Below are 20,167 nucleotides of genomic sequence, written 5' to 3'. Positions count from 1 at the left end.
TGATTGATCCCCATTAGAGTATTTGTGGGTAGTAAAGTAGCCTAAGTGGTTCTCTCCCTCTGATTAAAAATTGCCCAAGCTTATTGAACTTGATTACACATGACAACATGAAATATTGTTTTTTGAAAACCATTTTGGTAACAACAAATAGACTTTCCGAATAGGAATTTTGAGAGATGACTTTCCTGAGAAGAACTGAGCAGTTTAAATTATTTTCTTAAATGCTCCTTACTTATTTTACTTAGCTTAAAATAATCTACAGTGTTATATTTCTTCAATTTTTTTGCCGTCCACTTACAGTTATGCTTTGCTTAATGATGGGAATATGTTCTGGAAAATGCATTATTAAGCAATTCTGTCATTGGGTGAGCATCATAGAGTATATTTACACAAACCTAGATGGTACCACCAGGACACAGCTGGGCTATATGGAATAGCCTATTGTTCCTAGCTTAAAAACAGGTATAGCATGTTACTCTACTGAATACTGTAGGCAATTGTAACATAACAGTATTTGTGTATCTAAAAATATCTAAACCTTAAAAAGGAGTAAAAATATGGCATAAAAGACAGAAAGTGGTACACTTGAATAGGACGCTTTCCATGAATGGAGCTTGAAGGGCTGGAAGTAGCTCTGGCTGTCAGTAAGTGAGTAGTGACTGAATTTGAAGGCTTAGGATACTGCTGTACATGACTGTGGACTGTATAATCATTCTACACTTAGACTACACTAAATTTATATAAAAATGCTTTTCTGGCCGGGCACTGTGACTCATGCCTGTAATCCCAACACTTTGGGAGGCCGAGGTGTGTGGATCACCTGAGGTCAGGAGTTCAAGACCAGCCTGACCAATATGGTGAAACCCCATCTCTGCTAAAAATGCAAAAATTAGCCGGACATAGCGGCGGGCTCTGGTAGTCCCAGATACTCGGGAAGCTGAGAAGGAGAATCGCTTGAACCTGGGAGGAGGAGGTTGCAGTGAACTGAGCTCACACCACTGCAGTCCAGCCTGGGCGTCAGAGCGAGACTCCATCTCAAAAATAAAAATAAAAATAAAAAATATTTTTCTTTCTTAAATAAAAAATTAGTCTTAGTTTACTACAACTCTTTCACTTTATAAACCTTTTTTAATTTTTTAAAACATTGTACAGCTGTGCAAAAATGTTTTCTCTCTTTATATTCTTGTTTTATATGCTTTTTCTATTTTTAATATTTTTCTATTTTTTATTTCTACATTTTTTTGTTGTTAAAAACTAAGATACAAACGATCATGTTAGCGTAGGTCTACAGAGAGTCAAGATAATATCACTGCCTTCCCCCTTCCATCTTGTCCCACTGGAAGGTCCTTAGGGGCAATAACACACATGGAACAGTCACCTCTTCTTGATATGGGTTGGCTCTTTGTCCCCACCCAAGTCTCATCTCAAATTGTAAACCCCACATCCACATGTCAGGGAGGGACCGGGTGGGAGGTGATTGGATCACGGGGCCGGTTTCCCCTACACTGTTCTCCTGATATTGAGGAAGTTCTCACGAGATCTGATGGTTTAAAAGTGGCAGTTCTCCCCTGCTCTCTCTCTCCTGCTGCCTTGTGAAGGTGCCTGCTTCCCCTTCACTTTCTGCCACGATTATACGTTTCTTGAGGCCTCCCCAGCCATGCGGAACTGTGAGTTGATTAAATCTCTTTTATTTATAAATTACCCAGGTTCAGGTAGTATCTTTATAGCAGTGTGAAAACAGACTAATACACCTATGATAGTGATGACTTCTACTGCAATACATCCTGAATGACCTGCCTGAGGTTAACATTCTTTTTCAAGTAGAAAGAGTACACTCTAAAATAACAATAAAAAGTATAGTAAATACATAAACCCGCAACAGTTACGTATTGTCATTATCAAGTATTGTGTATTGTGCACAATTATAGGTGCTATACATTTATAAGACTGGCAGCAGAGTATGTTTGTTTACACAGGTATCACCACAAACACATGACTAATGCATTGCAGTGCAACATTATTATAGCTATGACTCACTAGGTGATAGAAATTTTTGGCTCCACTAAGATCTTATGGGAACACCATCCTATTTCATCCATCTTGTTACTAATTGACGTGTTATTATGTGGCACATGACGGCACTGTAGAGAAAACTGTATAACAAATCTGCATGTACCCATCATCTGGCTTTAATAGTTATGAGCTCTCAGTCAAACTTGTTTCATTGCATTTCTATTAATTTCTCTTATTACAGATTGCTTTGAAGAAAATTCAAAATATATGATTTTTATCTATCAACATGTCAGCTTATACACATGAAAGACAAGGAGTTATTAAACATACATGACCATGTGCTAATAATTTAATAGTAATTTCATCAAATATTTGGTCAATATTCATTTCCCCTCAATCTTCTCATAAAGGTGTTTTAATACTTTGACTTCAGATCCAAATAAAGTTCATATACACATGAGTTTTTTAATATTTCTAATATGTAGATTACTTTTTATCATTTATTTTGAATTAAACAGAATATTTGTTCCATACGATTTCCCACAGTTTAGATATCACTGGTTTATCCTGTTGATGCTGTTTAGTAGGTAACTCTGCTCTTGTATTTTCTCTATGATGGTAGTTAACTTACTTCTAGAAGGTTGATAAGATTAAGTTTGATTTTGGAGGGGCAAGACTACCTAACAGTTAGTGCTTTTTTCTTCCATGAGAAATTACCTATGTATTTTTATATACGAAAGTGTGGGTTTGTCTATTTTTGAAATGGTAGACATCCTTGATTATCATTGCCCAGATGAAGGATTTCATTTTAGATTACAAAATAGTGATATTCTAGTCCTATCATTTATTTTTATTTATTAGCTGAAATATTTCAGCAAGGAAAAATGTTCATCCATTAATACTGTTTGGTTACCCTGAGGAAAGGTTTACACACCAAATGCCACAAAAATACTTAATTATTTTCCTTCATTTGCTAATTTTCAAAATAGGGAGTTTGTTTCCTATCAGCTTTTAAAAAGGAACTTTTTTTGTTTTTTATATTTAGTGGCATTACTAACATATGACTTTAAACATATTACCATTATTATTCTTACTGATGTTCAAATTATTAATATTTAATAGTGGAAATTATTCTAGTTGATGCCTTAGCCCTTTTGAAGAGAGCCTAAGAGTCTATCAAATATTCCTTGCTTTCTAGTATGACAACGTGTTCCGGGCTGATTTTGATGTTTCCTACTCTAGACTTGAAGCAGCCATTTCTCTAAGGAGTCCTGATTCCTTTTAATAGGAAATGGAATTTAAATTCCACAGTCTTAGTGTTAAGGCATTCAACTGCTTTCAAGCATGCTACAGCTTTACACTAATAAAGGTAGTTTCAGATCCTTCTAATTTTTTGTTACCTTTAATTAAATTGGTGGTAGCATTTAACTGGTTAATTTCCTGTTTTGGCAAACTAACTAATGTTCACATTATTTCTTATGCAATATAAATAAGTGCTTTGTTAAATTTACAAGGAACAAAAGTAATAACTTTTTCTCATTCAAAATTATGTCAAACTAAAATCAACAGTGGATTTTTTATCTTTCTATAGCTTGAAAATTGAGCAAACATCTTGTTTCATTCTATTCAAAAATAGTTTGTCAAGATTTAGAATTAATTCCAATAACTTCATATATTATGCAGGGAGTCATTTTCTAGAACTTTGGCAATTAGAGACCAGAAATTTGTTCCTGGTTTGAAACAATCCCCCTTTGTATCTCTTTCAAATAATACCTTGAAACTATGCAGACCAGAGGTTAAATTAAAAAGGGTGACACACAATAATCATCATAGGACTGACAAAAGTTAACACGGATCAAGATTTTCTATTGCAAATACATTTCTGAGATTTATTTTTTTCTATATTTTCATTTTATTTTCTTTCTCACTGCCCCCATCCCCTGCTTCTTTAACCATACTTCTATGCTATGGCTTAAAAGATAATTCTTATGAGGCTATGTTCTATTCAGTGATTTGAGAGATGATTCAGGCCAGTACCCTACCAATAATTAAAATAAACTCTAGATTTTGTTTTGTGAGATGGGGTCTCACCCTGTCCCCCAGGCTGGAGTACAGTGGCAGCTTCTGAACTCACTGCAACCTCCATCTCCCAGGCTCAAGCAATCCTCCCACCTCAGCCTCCAGAGTAGCTAAGACTACAAGTGCATGCCACCAGGCCTGGCTAATTTTTGTATTATTTTTATAGAGATAGGGGTATCACCATGTTGTCCAGGCTGGTCTCAAACTCCTGAGCTAAAGCCATCCACCTGCCTTGGCCTCCCAAAGTGCTGGGATTACAGGCATGAGCCACCCCACCAGGAGGAACTCTGGATTTTTAAATTTACTGTTTGGAAGCATCAGAGAGCAGCCAAGGCAACCAACCTACAAGGGCCAAGATCTTAGAAAGAAAGGAATTGTATTGCAGGGAGCCTGGCTTTCTCCTCTGCATTTGTGGATTATAAATGCATTATATTGTTGGAGGCAGGGAGGGGTGATGCTGAAGGGCCTAGAAAACAAGTGAAAAACGGTGGCTTAGAGTAATTGGACATTTCATAGACTAGAGAAGACAAAATACAGTAATCTCCCCTTATCCTCAGGTTTTTGTTTGTTTGTTTGTATTTTTTTTTTTTTTGGATGGAGTTTCGCTCTTGTTGCTCAGGCTAGAGTGCAACGGCACCATCTTTGCTCACTGCAACCTCCACCTCCCGGATTCAAGTGATTCTCTTGCCTCAGCCTCCCGAGTAGCTGGGATTACAGGCATGAGTCACCATGGCTGGCTAACTTTGTATTTTTAGTGGAGATGGGGTTTCTCCATGTTGGTCAGGCTGGTCTCAAACTCCTGACCATAGGTGATCCACCCACCTTGGCATCCCAAAGTGCTGGGATTACAGGCGTGAACCACCGTGCCCGGCCTTCAGTTTTGTTTTATTGGGTTTCAGTTACCTGTTGTCAAGCAAGATCCAAAAATATTAAATTGAAAATTTCATAAATAAACAATTCATAAGATTTAAATTTTTCATATTATTCTGAGTAGCTGATGAAATCTCACAACTTCCAGCTCTGTCCTGCCCAGAAAGTGAATCTTCCCTTTGTTCAGCATTATTCACACTGTAGACACTATTTGCCTGTTAGTCACTTAGTAGCTGACTGGGTTATCAGGTTATCATGGCATCACAGTGCTTGAACTCAAGTGACTTTTATTACACCGAATCATGTCCTCAAAATGCAAGAGTAGTGATGCTGTGATTTGGATATGCCAAACAGAAGCTGTACAGTGCTTCCTTTAAATGAAGAGGTGAGAATTCTCAATAAGGAAAGAAAAGATATCATATACTGAGGTTACTAAGATCAACCATAAGTATAAATCTATCTGTGAAATTGTGAAGAAGTAAAAAGAAATTCATGCCAGTTTTGCTGTCACACCTCAAACTGCAGAAGTTAGGGCCACAGTGAGTGATAAGTGCTTAGTTAAAATGGAAAGGCATTAAATTTTGGGGTGAGACATGAACTGAAACATGTTCCAATTGATAGCAATCAGGTTCAATACTTTCCAAGGTTTCAGGCATCCCCTGGAGGTCCTGGAACATACCCCCCATACATAAGGCAGGGACTACTGTAGTGGTATTCTTTACTGATTTTTACCTTCAGATAATTTGCTGATTCCCAGATTGCACCACTGCACTCCAGTCTGGGCGACAGAGCAAGACTCCATCTCCCTCTGCCGCCAATAATAATAATAATAATAATAATAATTTGCAGATTCCTAAGATTTGTGGAGAAAGAAACAAGCCAAACAAAAGGTGGTTGCTCTAAGGCCTGAAGCTAGGCAGTACTGAAGGCCACCCAAGAGTAGAAGCTATGGACAATAGCACTGGCATTTAACAAGAACCCTTCATGGACTATAGTCTAGTATTAAGGGCAAAACAGACATAAACTATACCTCACAGGGAATGAACTTGATCATCCCAAAATATAATTGCATCAAGGTAATCTGCTCCTGCTTTAACAGCCTATCAAAAGGAAAGCAAATCTTTTATGGAAAGATAAAATCCAGAAATTCTATAATTCTACATGCATTCAATGAAAAGTGGCCAGCAGACAGAAACAAATGACAAAAAATCATGATAAAAATAAAAATCAAGTCAGACCCCTCAAGTAACCTAGATATTATCATAATCAGAAACAGGTTTTTAAAATAAGTTATTAGCAAGAACATAAATGACAAAGAATTTTATCAGCAAACTAATATCTATAAAAAGAATCAAATGAAAATTATAGGTAAAAAAATGGGGCATCTGAAGTCATATATTTGATAGAGAGTTTTGCTAGCAGAATTATAAAAAGCAAAAGAGGTGATTAATGATGAAATATAGGTCAATAAATGATATGTAGATTGAAGAGTAGAGAAAACAATTTGAAACATTCAAAAAAGAATAGGAGACATTTGAACGTGGTGAAAGACTCTTAGGCAGTATAATCAGAATCTATAAGTATAGGACCAAGGCAATATTAATAGAAGTATTAGTCAAGAATCTCCCAAACCAAGGAAAGCCTCTTGGTCAATGATGCCAAAGCTCTATAAATGAAAGCAGGATAAATACAAAGAAATCCATACATAACCCCATCATTTAAAAGTTGTGAGAACCAAAGAATACAAAATAAAATCTTAAAAGTAACCAAAGGAAGAGACACATTATCATTAAAACTGCAAACGAGTGACAGCTGCCTTTTCAGCAGTAATGAATATATATCAAGACAAATGAGTGACATATTTAAAGTGCCAAAAAGAAAACTGCCATCATGTGAAAATATCTTTCAAATAATTAAGGTGAAATTAAGATATTCCTAGAAAAGGAAAACCAAAGAGAATTTGTCAACCATAAACCTACATTAAAAGAAAAGCTATGAGGGCCGGGCGCGGTGGCTCACGCCTATGATCCCAGCACTTTGGGAGGCCGAGGCGGGCGGATGACAAGGTCAGGAGATCAAGACCATCCTGGCTAACACAGTGAAACCCCGTCTCTACTAAAAAATACAAAAGATTAGCCAGGCATGGTGGTGGGCTCCTATAGTCCCAGCTACACGGGAGGCTGAGGCAGGAGAATGGCGTGAATCCGGGAAGCGGAGCTTGCAGTGAGCCGAGATTGCGCCATGGCACTCCAGCCTGGGAAACACTGCCAGACTCCATCTCAAAAAAAAAAAAAAAAAAAGAAAAAAAAAAAAAAGCTATGAACAATTCTTTAAGCAAAAGAGAAATATCTCCGATGTAAGGAAACAAATGATAGAATTAGTAAAAAACAAAAAAGGACAGAGTAAACATAAACATAAATCTAAATGAATACTGATTACATAAAACAATAATACTACCATCTTGCTACCTTTAAGATATGCAAATTAAAATACATATAAACGAGAGCCAGAAACATGAGGATGGGGAAAAGGAAATAAATGGTTAGGGATATGAACACATCTAGAGCACATCTATTCCAGCAAAACAGGTTAACAGCCACAACAAAAGACTTGGAAGATCCTTTAGAATCTTCAACATGGAAGATTTAAACAACACAATTAACACCTCGGGTCTAGTGTACAAATATGGAACACTGTAACTAATAATTGCACAATTCATTTTTAACCCAAAAGTATATAGATATCTACCATAAGTGACTGTCTTCTGTTTCATAAAGTCTCAAAACATTTTACAGGCCAGAGTCATATTTGATATAGTATCCTAACATAGCAGAATTAAGCTGGATATCAATAACAAGATAATGAGAACATTCTTACGTATTTGTAAATGAAAAAAGACACTTAAAATAGTTTATGAGTCAAATGAGAAAGGGCAATGAAAATAATTCAGAAGTGTTTTAAATGTATAGTTCTCAGGAGACTGAAATATAAAAGTGCTTAAGGGAATGTCACAGATGTGTCTCGGTAATGGTGTCTATAGGACATACCAACGAGCAATAAATAATTTTTATTCTAAACAGTCACATTGGTGTCATGTAGACAGAAGAGTCAATTGATGCATTATTTTGCATTTCAGCTGCTTCATTTAGCATTGTATAAATTCAGTTTGGGTTAGATTTAATAGAAGCAAGTATTCAGATGGAAGGTGATCTCAATGTCCTAGAGCTACAAACTCTTTGAATCCTATTGAAAAGAAAGCCATTGCTTTAGTCAAATGATTTCATTTACATGCCTTGAAAGACATATTGCTCATGTAATGCTTAACATGAACCAAAAGTGAAGACAATTAGTACGGTTGGCGGATGCTACTTTAAGGGAAAAATGTTTTCTTTACACAGCAGATGTGGGAACATAAGGCCAGCAGTGGGTATCAATGCTAAACTGTCACTGAATTGCACAAAAACAACAGGATGTAACAAAATAACTAGTGTTTTCAAACTTGCTATACTAAGAATTAGTCTTTTGCCAGTCTCCTCAAAAAAAAAAAAAAAACAAAAACCACGATGTTCATCTATACTAATTTGCTTTAACACACATTTCTGTTAAATGGTAAGTTTCAGTATCAAGCAGGAAATCTAATGTTTGTGCGACCAAAAACATGTGGCAAGACTGTAATGTCAGTTATTTTTCATTTTCTTTTTCTTTTTAGGGCAGAGTGAATCCATTATTTTTAAATTCCTACATCTTCAGTGACACTAAGCTACTGTATCATGTCACTTCTCTAACCTGAGAGCACTGCTTTGCATTTATATCACTCATTCACATAAGAAAAGGTGATTCTTTTTATAAAACAACTAATTAACATGTATAGAGTAGTGGGATAACACACTTAGAATCCCAAATACAAACTCGTCTATAACTTACAAATTATCCAACAAGGTAAACATAAAATTTTCAAATATTTTTTTAGCTCTTTTCAAGTCACATGAGAGTAGCAACTTATATAGAATAAAAGAATAAAAAAAAACTTATTATCAGTTGTAGTATCAAGATGGGGTGCTGAAAACTCCTGATAATCAAAACCATCCTTGAAAAATTCCTGAAGTCTCCTATAAAATGTGCATGGGATTGCATATATAACCGTCTACAGTAATTTTAAGCACTCTAATATTTGAGAGTCACAAAATAAACTAAAGGAAAAAAACAAAGGGAGACCTATGGGAAGACAGGTCAGCATTTATTTCTTTATACCTTAAAAATCAAAACAAAACAAAAAAACAAGCAAGAAACAAACAAACAAAAAACACCCCAAACCCAAAATAAACCCCACACACATACATAGAAATCCAGGCCATTTAGAAAAAAGCATTTAGACATTAAATGTATTGAGATTTACATTTAATGTCTAAATGCTTTTTTATAAACAAAAAATTAACTTTCAATTGCTAGCATAAATATTTGTATTTCCCTTTCTTTTTTTATGAATATGATTTCAATGGTTTAGCAAAGGCATCACGATTATGATGTGAGTTTTGGCCTTGATATGATTTATTATTATAAATATCCCTGCCGGCTTTCAGAATCTCTTGTAATCCCTTCTTCACATTCTGGTCAAACAAAATTTTCCCTATGGTATCATTTTGAGTTTTCCTACCCCAAAACCTTTTCTGCCTTCTTGTATTTTGCTTACTAAATTAGATCAAAAGTCTTTCCTTCATCTTTTGACATCTCTGGAGTTTCCAGTCATCTTCCTTCAATTATCTATCTGTGCTCTACACATTTACCATTCATTCTTTTCTATGCCTTGATTTTTCTGATTCAGTGCACAGGCTTTGTTCTTTTCATGATCTGCAATATTTTTCTCCCAATCTCTGTTATTATAATCATCAAAATTTCATCTAAAGTACCTTCTTCATGACAACTTACTCAAAAACATTTCTATATCTTCAAATTTTTTTATGGTCCTGAAGAAGAAGAGGAGGAGGGGGAGGAGGGGGAGGAGGAGGAGCAGGAGGAAGAGGAGGGGAAGGAAGAAAAAAAGAAAGAAAGAAAACTATCATATTATTCTTAGGTATACTAATTACATAGGCATATAGATACTACTTATCTCCCAAGTTTTTCTTTTTCCTCTACACAGTCTTCATTTCTTCACCACCCCTCTCATTTATTGGGACCTCCCTATGTGCCACATATCTTACTAGGCATTTCATACATTTTTTTCTAAAGTTCTCAGCAATCTTGTGCCATATTATTAGTGTCATTTGACAGATGTATAAACCAAGGTTCAAAGTAAGTGACAGATGAAAATCAGACTAACATGATTCTGACACAATGACATGAACGGCCCTTTATGGTACTTCTACTATAGTTTGTTTCACTAAATAAACTAATGGTTTGGCCCTGTTGTATGACAACTCAATGAAATATTTATTATCACAGGCAAATAAATTATTACTTGGTTTGCTTAGAGTATCTTATATGATTGTTTTCTTCATGTGATAATGGCTACATTTTACTGTGTAAAATTTACCCAGTAAATTTTACATTTACCTTTCTGAAAATAGCTTTATGTTTTCTAAGAGTCGACTCGGTGATTTATGTGGAGCCCACTGCTATGTAAAGACTGTTCATTTTAGAGATTAATGCTTTCCGGTCTCTCACCAGCTGGGAATGCCAGGTGAAAAAAGGAACGGACATCACAAAAGGATGGCACACAACCAAATTTAAAACCTTCCCTTTTTTTCCGGTCCATTTCTCAATCCTTAAATCCTTTGCCCTAAGCCACATTCCACAGAGGATCCGAAGTTGTGTGCTACCATACTTTAATTGGTAGCACCATTTCCATAATCACTCTACCATGCCAAAGCATTGGCCTCTGCTTAGCTGTAATCCCTTGTTTCCAGCAGTTCAAGAATTGCCAGTAGATGCGACTACACACAAAGGAAGTTGCTTTGCCAGCAGCACTTGCAGCTGTGGCATATTGGAAACTCACCATTTAACTGCAGGGCTCATAGTTCAGTCTGTATGGGACATAGCAAGAGCTAGTTGTTTATGTAATCATCGCTTTGAACTTCTATGTAATATTGTTTTTATCAAAACGTTTCCCGACTTTAATGAAAATTTGAACTCATAATTAATTGGATCGGGGTCTCAAGTCTCTTACAATAAAATCATCTGTGATTTCAGACACTGAAATTTCAGACCTGTCCCTAATCTATCATGACTGAGATTTCCCCTAGACCCCAAAGAGATTTTCTGGAAATTTCAGTGGAAGTGCCCTAAAAATATATGAATTTATCAAAATTGATTTTATTTCTTTGTTGTGTTTGCATTTATTTTTCCTTTTGGGGGGTATATTTTCATAAAGGTGTTATTATAATTACAAATTTATTTTGAAAAACTTAATTTTTAAAATGAGAAAAGCTAGATACAGCTAAAAATACCAGTGGCTAATATTGAAAATATAAGAAAACATTAACATATGAGTTCAAATGTATTCTCTATTAATTCATTTTTGCCTGTATAAATATTACAAAAAACATATATTGGAATGTAAGGTTTCAAATTGTTTCATTAGTTTAAAAAAGGAAGGAAAAAGCTGTGAGAATATTTAGGAAACAATGCTCAAAAGGTCCTGTCAAAATTCACTAATAAGTTTTCCTTTTTCGAAGCTTCAACTTCTCTGACAACTTCTCTCTTTCTCCTGTTTTTTCTTCCTCATCACTCCAATTTTTCTGCATGTTACTGATTTTTTTTTCTTAGAATTATACTATCAGCCCCCTTTTCTTCCAGCCCCACTTTATTCCATCTTTCCTATGGCTCCAATTAATTGTATATATTTCCAGATCTTTATCTGTAGCCATTATTATTTTCTTGAGCTACAGTCCTTGTATTAATATAGAAATATTACACCAGTTTCCTCTAGAGACCAAAGTCCCCCCTCCTCAAATGAAATCCTTTCAAGTGAGACTTGTTTCTTTTGTTTAACATACTGCACCCCAAAATAGCTGAAGTCTGGCTAATACAACATTGTTTATAGTACAGGTAACACTACATTTAAAATGTGAGAATATGAATTTTTTGCTATAGATTATAAACCGACGAGTTTGCTATTTGTGCCTGGGAAGATAGACCACTCTAAGAGATAAGACTGGATCCAGAGGCTTCCTGAAAGACAGGATCCAGTGGTTTTCTATTCAGGGAAGTTGGCTGCAGTAGGAGATACTGTCACCCTAATGCAACAGTTGTGCTCATTGTGACTCACAGAAAGTCCATTACTCTCCTGACCGGAAGAAAGAAGGACTCAAAAGCATCTGGCCACACTTCCACCTTCCACTGCCATTGTATTACGTTCTACTATTGGTTTCAGCCATTCAGTTTGGCATATGAATAACTGGAATCCTTTCTTCTCTATGAAAGAAAGGCAGGGGCATTACAGCTTGTTTATGTTTGACTCATATGTAAAGAGCATATAAAAGCCCACTGATGGAAGGGGAAAAAAAAGAACTTACTTCCACTTCTATTTCTAAAACTAGAAATTTAGTCCTTAATGAAACCAATATTATCCCCCAATGCCACCTACATCCTGTAGATGTCCATCTGGTGGTCCTGCAAGCTCTGAACCTCTGCTCTTTCAAACCTATGCTTGTCTTACAACTACAAGCTTGTTCCTCTGCTGCTCCTTGTTGCTGGCATCACATTCATTTCATTCCACTCATAAACTTTGAAGATAGCTTTGACTCCTTTCCCTCTGCCCTTGTATATCTGATCAGTTACCAATTTGGTGGATATCTTAAACCCATTTCCAATGACTGCCTAAGTCCAGGTATTCATCGTCTCTCACTATCCTAAATGGTCTACTCTTAGCGTTTCTCTGCATCTTCCCAGTGGTTCTCCAAACACAGTGCCACAACCAGCAGTATCGGAAATAGACAGAAACTTATCAGAAACTTAGTGGGCTACATACCAGACTAAATGAATCAGAAACTCTGGGGAACAGAGACCAGCCTTTTTTGTTTTAACAAGCCTCTAAATAATTCTGGTGTACACTGAAGTTTGAGAACCACTGGAATAGAGTTGATTTTTTTAAAACACAGATCATATATTATAAATTGCTTGGTCAAAATATTCAGTGACATGCACAGACTCCTGATCTGACCAGACAACAGCATTTCACCATCATCTTTTTCTCATTCTGTAGACCCTGAATTTTAGCCACACAAATTTCCTTATGGCCATTTTACATGAAACCTCAGATTTAGGGAGATTAAGCAACTTGACCAAGAATAAAGAGTCAGCAAATAACAGAGACATCTTATCCTCTTTTCACCAAGCAGTAGTAGTCAATTATTTGCTGGTTGGTTTGCTGATTTGTTCGTTTGTTTGTTTGTTTTGCACAGAGTGTAGATGAATGGATGGAGGAGTGAACATAATAATTACTGGTCTAATCACCAAAATTCTAAAGAAATAATGGGTGTATCTTCATCTGTTTTCTGTTGCTATAACTGAACACTACAGACTAGGTAATTTATAAAGAATAAAAGTTTATTTTGCTCACAGTTTGGGAAGCTGGGAAGTCCAAGAGCATGGTGCTGGCATCTGGTGAGGACAGAGCAGAAGGCACAATATAGCAAGAAGGTAAGAGCTTGTGTGATAGCTCAAGCCTCTTCCTCTTCTTAAAGCCACTAGTCCCATCAAGGGGACCCCAGTTTGATGACCTTGTATAATCCTGATTACCTTCCAAAGTCCTCAGCTCCAAACATCATCAACATATACATTTGGGGATTCAGTTTTCAATGTGTGAAATTTGGGTGACATATTCAAACCACAGCATTCCACTCTGGTCCTCCAAATTTATGTCCTTCTCACACGCAAAATACTTTCATTCTATCTCAATAGCCTCACAGTCTGAACTAATTTTAGCACCAACTCAAAAGTTTAAAGTCCAGAGTCTCATCTAAACAGATATGAGTGAGACTCAGGGCATGACTCAGCCCACGGCAAGTTCCCTCCAGCTGTGAGTCTGTGAAGTCAAAATAAGTTATCTACTGCTAAAATACAATGCTGGGACTGGCATAGGACAGACACTTCCATTCCAAAAGAAAGGAGTAGGCAAGGAGGGAGGAGTAGCAAGTAACAGGCCTCAAGTAAGTCCAAAACCCAATGGGGAATATCACATTTAGTCTTAAAGCTGGAGAATAATTTTTGACTCCATGTGCTGTCTCCTGGACACATTGGGGTGAAAGTTAGATTCCCAGGGCCTCAGCAGCCCTGCCCCTATGGCAGTACAGAGATCAGTCCATGTGGCAGTTCTCACAGGTGGGAGTCTTGTGCGTGCACTTCTCTCAGGTTAGTGTGGCACTCTGGTAGCTCTACAGTTCTGGAGTCGTGTGGGTGGCCTTGCCTCTGTGGCTCCACTATGCATTGTCATAGTGGGGGCTGTTTGGGTGGCTTCATCTTTGACCCCATATTTCTAACCTGCATTGCCCTAGTAGTTCTGTGCAGTGGATCCACCCCTGTGACAGATCTCTGTCTGAGAGCCCAGGCTGTTTGTGATATGCTTTGAAATCTAGGTGGAGGAAACCATATCCCCACAGCTCCTGCATACTGTGTGGCTGCAGAATTGGCACTACATAGATGCTGCTAAAGTTTACAGCTTTTACCTTATGAAGTGGTAGGTTAAGCCACACCTGGGGCCTATCGAGGTCGGGAATCTGGGGGGCACCGAAGCAGAACACAGGGAGCAGAGTCCTCAGGTGGCTCTGGGCAATAAGCCTATGAATGCTTGCTTGTCAGTTCAGGCCTTTCTTCTCAAAGCCAGCAGTCCAATTATGGGGGCCCCACCCTGATAACCTTATCTAATTCTAGTTACCTCCGAAAGGCTCTACCTCCAAACATCATCAACATATGTATGCATTTGGGGATTAAGTCTGCAGCACACAAAATCTGGGGGACATATTCAAACAATAGCAGTATGAGTATGTTACTAAAGTTTTCTAAAATATTTAAAATAAATAAGATGATACATAGACCAAACGACAGTAACTTAATTAAATACAAGCTGGTATATACACAAGGTGTTTATCAATACCAGTATGCAGGGAAATCTCTAGCGATCTGACTCTGACCCCCTTTTCCAGCCCTGTGCTGTTGCATATTCTCATGAAGGATTTGGATAGGAGTATCGTCAGTAAATTGAACATATGCATAGATGATAAAAAGTTACAAGAGATATCCAATATGCAGAGCGAAAGAATTAACTTTGAAAAATCCCAACAAGACTGAAAAACCAAACCCCCCAAAACCCAGTGATTCCAATAATAAAGAACTTAATGGAAATGTATGTAGTCTGAAAAAAACACACATGTAGAAGGTTAAGATGGTGAAGAGCAGGCTTTGGGATCAGGCAGATTTAGATTTGCGCTCTATATTCTACTTACCTTCTTACATGAGTGATCTCTGGCATTTTACCTAATTTTCCTGAGCTCAACTTCCTCTTTTGTATAATAGGAAAATTGCTGTAACTACTTCTTAGAATTAGTGCTGTAACTACTTCTTAGAATAATGAATATGAAATTCTTAGCATAGATGGTAGAATATAGTTAAATATTAAATAAGTATTATTTATTATTTATTTTTATATGTCACACCAACTTTGCTAAATGGGGGGAACAAATACATCACATAAACTTCATAAAACAATCTATACATCTGAGAACCACATTATAAATGAAATATTAACAAACTGAATCTTATCCAGAGGTACTGAAAAAAAAAAAATAATTGGAAGATTTTTAAAAAGTCATAAGGAGGTGTTTAAGCAGGAAAAGAAACTCTTGAAGAATATGACTGAGTACTTCAAAATTCTAAGCCTTGCTTTATAAAGAAAGAGACCACAATGTACAATCTGTAATTACAAATAGAAGTTATGTGGAAATAGATTTCTGCTCAAAACAAGAAAGAACGTACAGACAGTCCAGTCCCCAACTTAGGATGGCTTGACTTAGGACTTTTCAACTTCATGATGATGCGAAAGTGAAACCGTACTTCAAATTTTGAATTCTGATCTTTTTCCCAAGCTAGTAATATGTGGTACAATACTCTCTTGCAATGCTGGGGAGTGGCAGTAAGCCACAGCTGTCAGTCAGCCCTGTGATCAGGAGGGTAAGCAGCTAGTATTCTATAGTGTATTCTGTTGCCGGCATTTTTTGGATATTTTGTGTTGTGTTTTCACATCCCATCATGTCTACTAAATGCCCAATTTTGACTTAGGATATTTTCAACTTACAATAGGTTTATCAGGACGTAGCTCTGTTGTAAGTTGAGAAGCTTCTATATTAACCGGTAGGTCTGCCTAGGAGAATTTCAGAGGTGGTTTAAGTTTTGTATAGGAGGAGTAATGTTCAAATAGAGGTGGGAGGTCACTTGCTGGGGTTATTAGAGAGATGATGGAAACAACAGATCAGCAGTTGAAAGAGAGGAAACCCTGTAACTGAAGGGTTCGACTTCAGTGGCTAATTTAACTGTGATCTGCATTATTCATTCCTGTATCTTAGTTGTGTCAAAGGAATGAAAACATTACCTCTTGTCCCCTTCATTACTAAATTTGAGTAAATTGTTAAAATATTATACAAATCCTCTACACTAATGTCAAACTTATTGTTCTTCATAATTCTCCACTAACAATACAGAGAGAGATCTATTTAATTGGAGAGATCTAATCTATTTTGGTTATGAATGGGTCTGTCTCTTTTTGGACTTCATAGCAAGAAGAGGGTAACATAATTTTTAAATAGAGAGGGATTTTATATATCATTGTCCATACCAGAATACTTTTGAGATGGACTTAGGCAATAATCAGACAGGCTACAGGACAGCAGGTATAAACTACAACATTCTGAGCAGACTGGAATAAAGGATCACTCTAAATATAACGGACGAAAATCATGAATGTTCAGTTTTTAAAATCTAGGTATTGAGAATGCTTTGTGGGAAAGAGTGTTGAGAGACAGAACCACACGGAAAACAAACCTCACCAATAACTGGCCATAATAGACACTGAACTTTCAGGTGGGATCTGTTTGTCCCTAAATACATCAGCGTCATTTTCGGTCATTTTCTTTTGTTTATTGACTATTGGTCACATTTCAATGCCACAACAAAAGATAACCCTTTAAGCAATTAATAAGGTTTAATGTAAATAGAAATATGCTGAAGTGTCAAGTAAGAATAAAATATGAAATTTTTTTATTTATTCATTTTTCCACATTTCTATTTTTTTCTTATTCCTTTTGAAAGAAGTAACTTAATTGACTTTACAGTTTATTTCTTTCTCTAGCACATAAAAAAAACTTTCAGGAAGGAGAAACTTCCTTCCTTTATAATACATTTCCAATGACTTTGTGAATTACACACCTTTCTATAACACAGTTTTGGGATGACTGAAGCTTTGGAGAAGCTTCATTATCTAAACACATTTGGACTGATGGGAGGCTAGATATATAATTTGCTCAGATGATGGATTGCCAATGCTGAATAATGTGGAAAATTTCAATACAGTAAATCATTCTGAATGTGCAAAACTGGGCAGAGAGCCAGGGGGATACAACAGATTAATGGGTTTTTCTGTCACTGCTGAAGATATGGGTTCTAATCTTGATGCCCGGAGGCGGGAAATTTGAGCTAACGATGGACTTTTTAGACATTGAGAAGCAGATCTCAAAAGAATTCAGAGAAGATATGAGCTTTAATAAAAGAAGAGTAGGCTGTTTGAAAACTTACATTTGAGGGGAAAAAAGATATGAGGAAAAAAAGTAGTAAATATTATGATATCCCTTTATCCAGCCAACATGCAAATTACTAATCTTAGTCCAATTAAAAACATGACAATAATAGAAGAGGCTTTCATATAGTTATGAATTTTTGAGTCATCCTATACTAAGAATGAATTGGGGAACCAAAGTCAAACAGTTAAAAAGGCAATTGGGCAATTCTTCTAATCACAGGTTTTATTTGGTTTTCTAGTATTAAGTCCATAAGTTATCTGTGTTTAAAATCAGAAATAGCTTAAGACATATTTTCTATGCAATTTGAGGATCTTTTACGGTTTAACAGAAGAAAACATTTTCTGTGATTTATCAATAAAAATTTATTATGTTGGGAAATCTAGTGAAATTGCCTATATTTAACCATTTTTTTTTACTTTCAAATATGGCAATTTTATATGGTTAAATCTAATGGATTTGTTCACATAAGGACAAGAGAAAACTCATATCGAGCATTGTGTTATTCACATTAAACGTATTTTCTCATTTCATTTTCACTGCAATACAGTATGGAAATTTGGAAAAAGAACATTCAAATAACTTTCTCAAGTCACATCGGTAAAGAGAGGCATAAGTAATATCAAAGGTCTTTTTGACCCATTAAGTAAGGCCTCCATGTATGATTATGAAGGTTGTTCACTGTGCAAGGGTGATAGCCAAGAAGGGAAGTGAGGGTTTAAATTTAGCCTGTGTTCTACCCAACTAGCGGGGAGCCCTGGGGTCATTGTATTTTCCAAAAAAGAGTGAATGAATATATAACCTGTCCCACGTGCATTTCTTACAGTGTTATATTGACAGTCCTTCACTGAAAGGTGGAGTCTGTTTTTTCTCCCCTTCGAGCTGGGTAGAACTTTACAACTGCCTTCAGCAATAAAATGAAGCAGAAGTGACACTGTATGACATCTGAAGTTACGCAATCAAAGGAAGTATAACTTTACCCTAGTGTCTTCCCTCTGAACAAGTGAATTGGGGGCCCTGAGCCAATTTGTTCTTTATCATTAAATTCATTTTACTTACCAAGGTAGATTGCGATTTACTTGTTATATTTCATATTTTATTTTCAGGCGGGAAGAGGTAAAGGTGTTGATGGTGGAAATCAATCTGGAACATGATAAAAAATGATCTTTCTGAGAGATGTTAACATGTGAAAAAAATCCAATTGAAACTCGATGTAATACGAAGTGTTTCTCAGAAAAATAAAATCAAACTGAAGCTGTGGTTTAGTAACTAAAGTTCTTTTTGTCACTAGAAATGACCTATGTTTGTATAAAATATTGATATAACAGTAATACCACTTTCTTAAGTGATAACATTGATAAAAGACATGATGAACTCAAAAATGTGTCTCTGGCAAACACAGTCAATATTCCCCAAAGGGCTCTACATAAATTAAACATGTAGGAAAGCATATCACAAGGTAAAATGTGTAGGGATTTCATCAGTCATCCACTTCTTTGACTTATTTTAAGCCCTAGGTACAGTGACCAATGAATATTTTCATGGCTGTTATAGATCCATGAGAGTGTTTAAGATCCAAAGTTATATTCCGTTTCAGAAAAATAGACTCAATCCCTATTCCTTTATCAAGTTAGGCTATATACTTTTATAATGTATCATATCATTGCGATAGAACAGCAGCTACTCTTTATTTAAAGAAAGATCTGTACATTTTCCATTTATTTTACTCTTTTAAACTTAAAATTATTTAAACATACTTTCTCCTCTCTTTTATTGGCCAACATTAAACCACATTGCTAATCTAATTTTCACTTGAGATGATACAGAGCTCTCCAAACCCATTCTCTGTTTAGATGACATGCAAATCAGATTAATGTGCTTGTGTTACAGACTTAGAGATAAGATTGTTGCTTCTGGGGCTTTAGCAGTAAAAATGCCTCTAACGTTTACTATTTTCTTTTTCCTGCCTTGGCAGTATATCTCTGCAGGAATGTCTTTTGGCAGATTAGTTTTCTAAGGCAAAGATCTACTCAGGGAGGGAGGAAAATACAGCAAAATCATTTTAGGAAATCAGAGAAAATATTTGAAGGTAAGGCTTTAATTATAACATAAGGGACTTAGAATAAACACTCAGGCATACTTGAAGGGATCTACAAGAAATTTTAAGTCTTTTTGTTTTAAATCTTTCAGTAGATGTATCTGTCTATAACATTTGAAACATACTTTTTATTTAAAGCAAGAGTGTGCACAAAATGACTTTTCTGGGTGTGAGTCCAATCGTTGAGTGTTTCCAACCCTGTTTTTTGTCTTTTTTTTTTTTTCTTTTGCCAGCCGAGGCACCAAAGATGATATTTTCTCATAATTACAGCCCAGTTCAAATATGTGTGCTCAGACAAGAAAAAGGCAAGCCACACTTTCAGGCA

General features: G+C 36.1%; 1 long non-coding RNA gene across 1 annotated transcript in view; it reads right to left on the bottom strand.

Moving 5' to 3' along the window:
- Positions 1–20,167, bottom strand: part of LINC03000 (long intergenic non-protein coding RNA 3000) — a 765,030-nt gene that overhangs the window by 688,707 nt on the left and 56,156 nt on the right. The window contains exon 2 of the long non-coding RNA XR_001742489.2: positions 18,804–18,887. This is a non-coding gene — a long non-coding RNA (long intergenic non-protein coding RNA 3000). The remainder of the gene's footprint in view (positions 1–18,803; positions 18,888–20,167) is intronic.

Source organism: Homo sapiens, chromosome 5, assembly GCF_000001405.40.
Source record: "Homo sapiens chromosome 5, GRCh38.p14 Primary Assembly".
In the NCBI taxonomy this organism is placed as follows: domain Eukaryota; kingdom Metazoa; phylum Chordata; class Mammalia; order Primates; family Hominidae; genus Homo; species Homo sapiens.
This window is presented reverse-complemented; position numbering and strand designations above follow the sequence as displayed.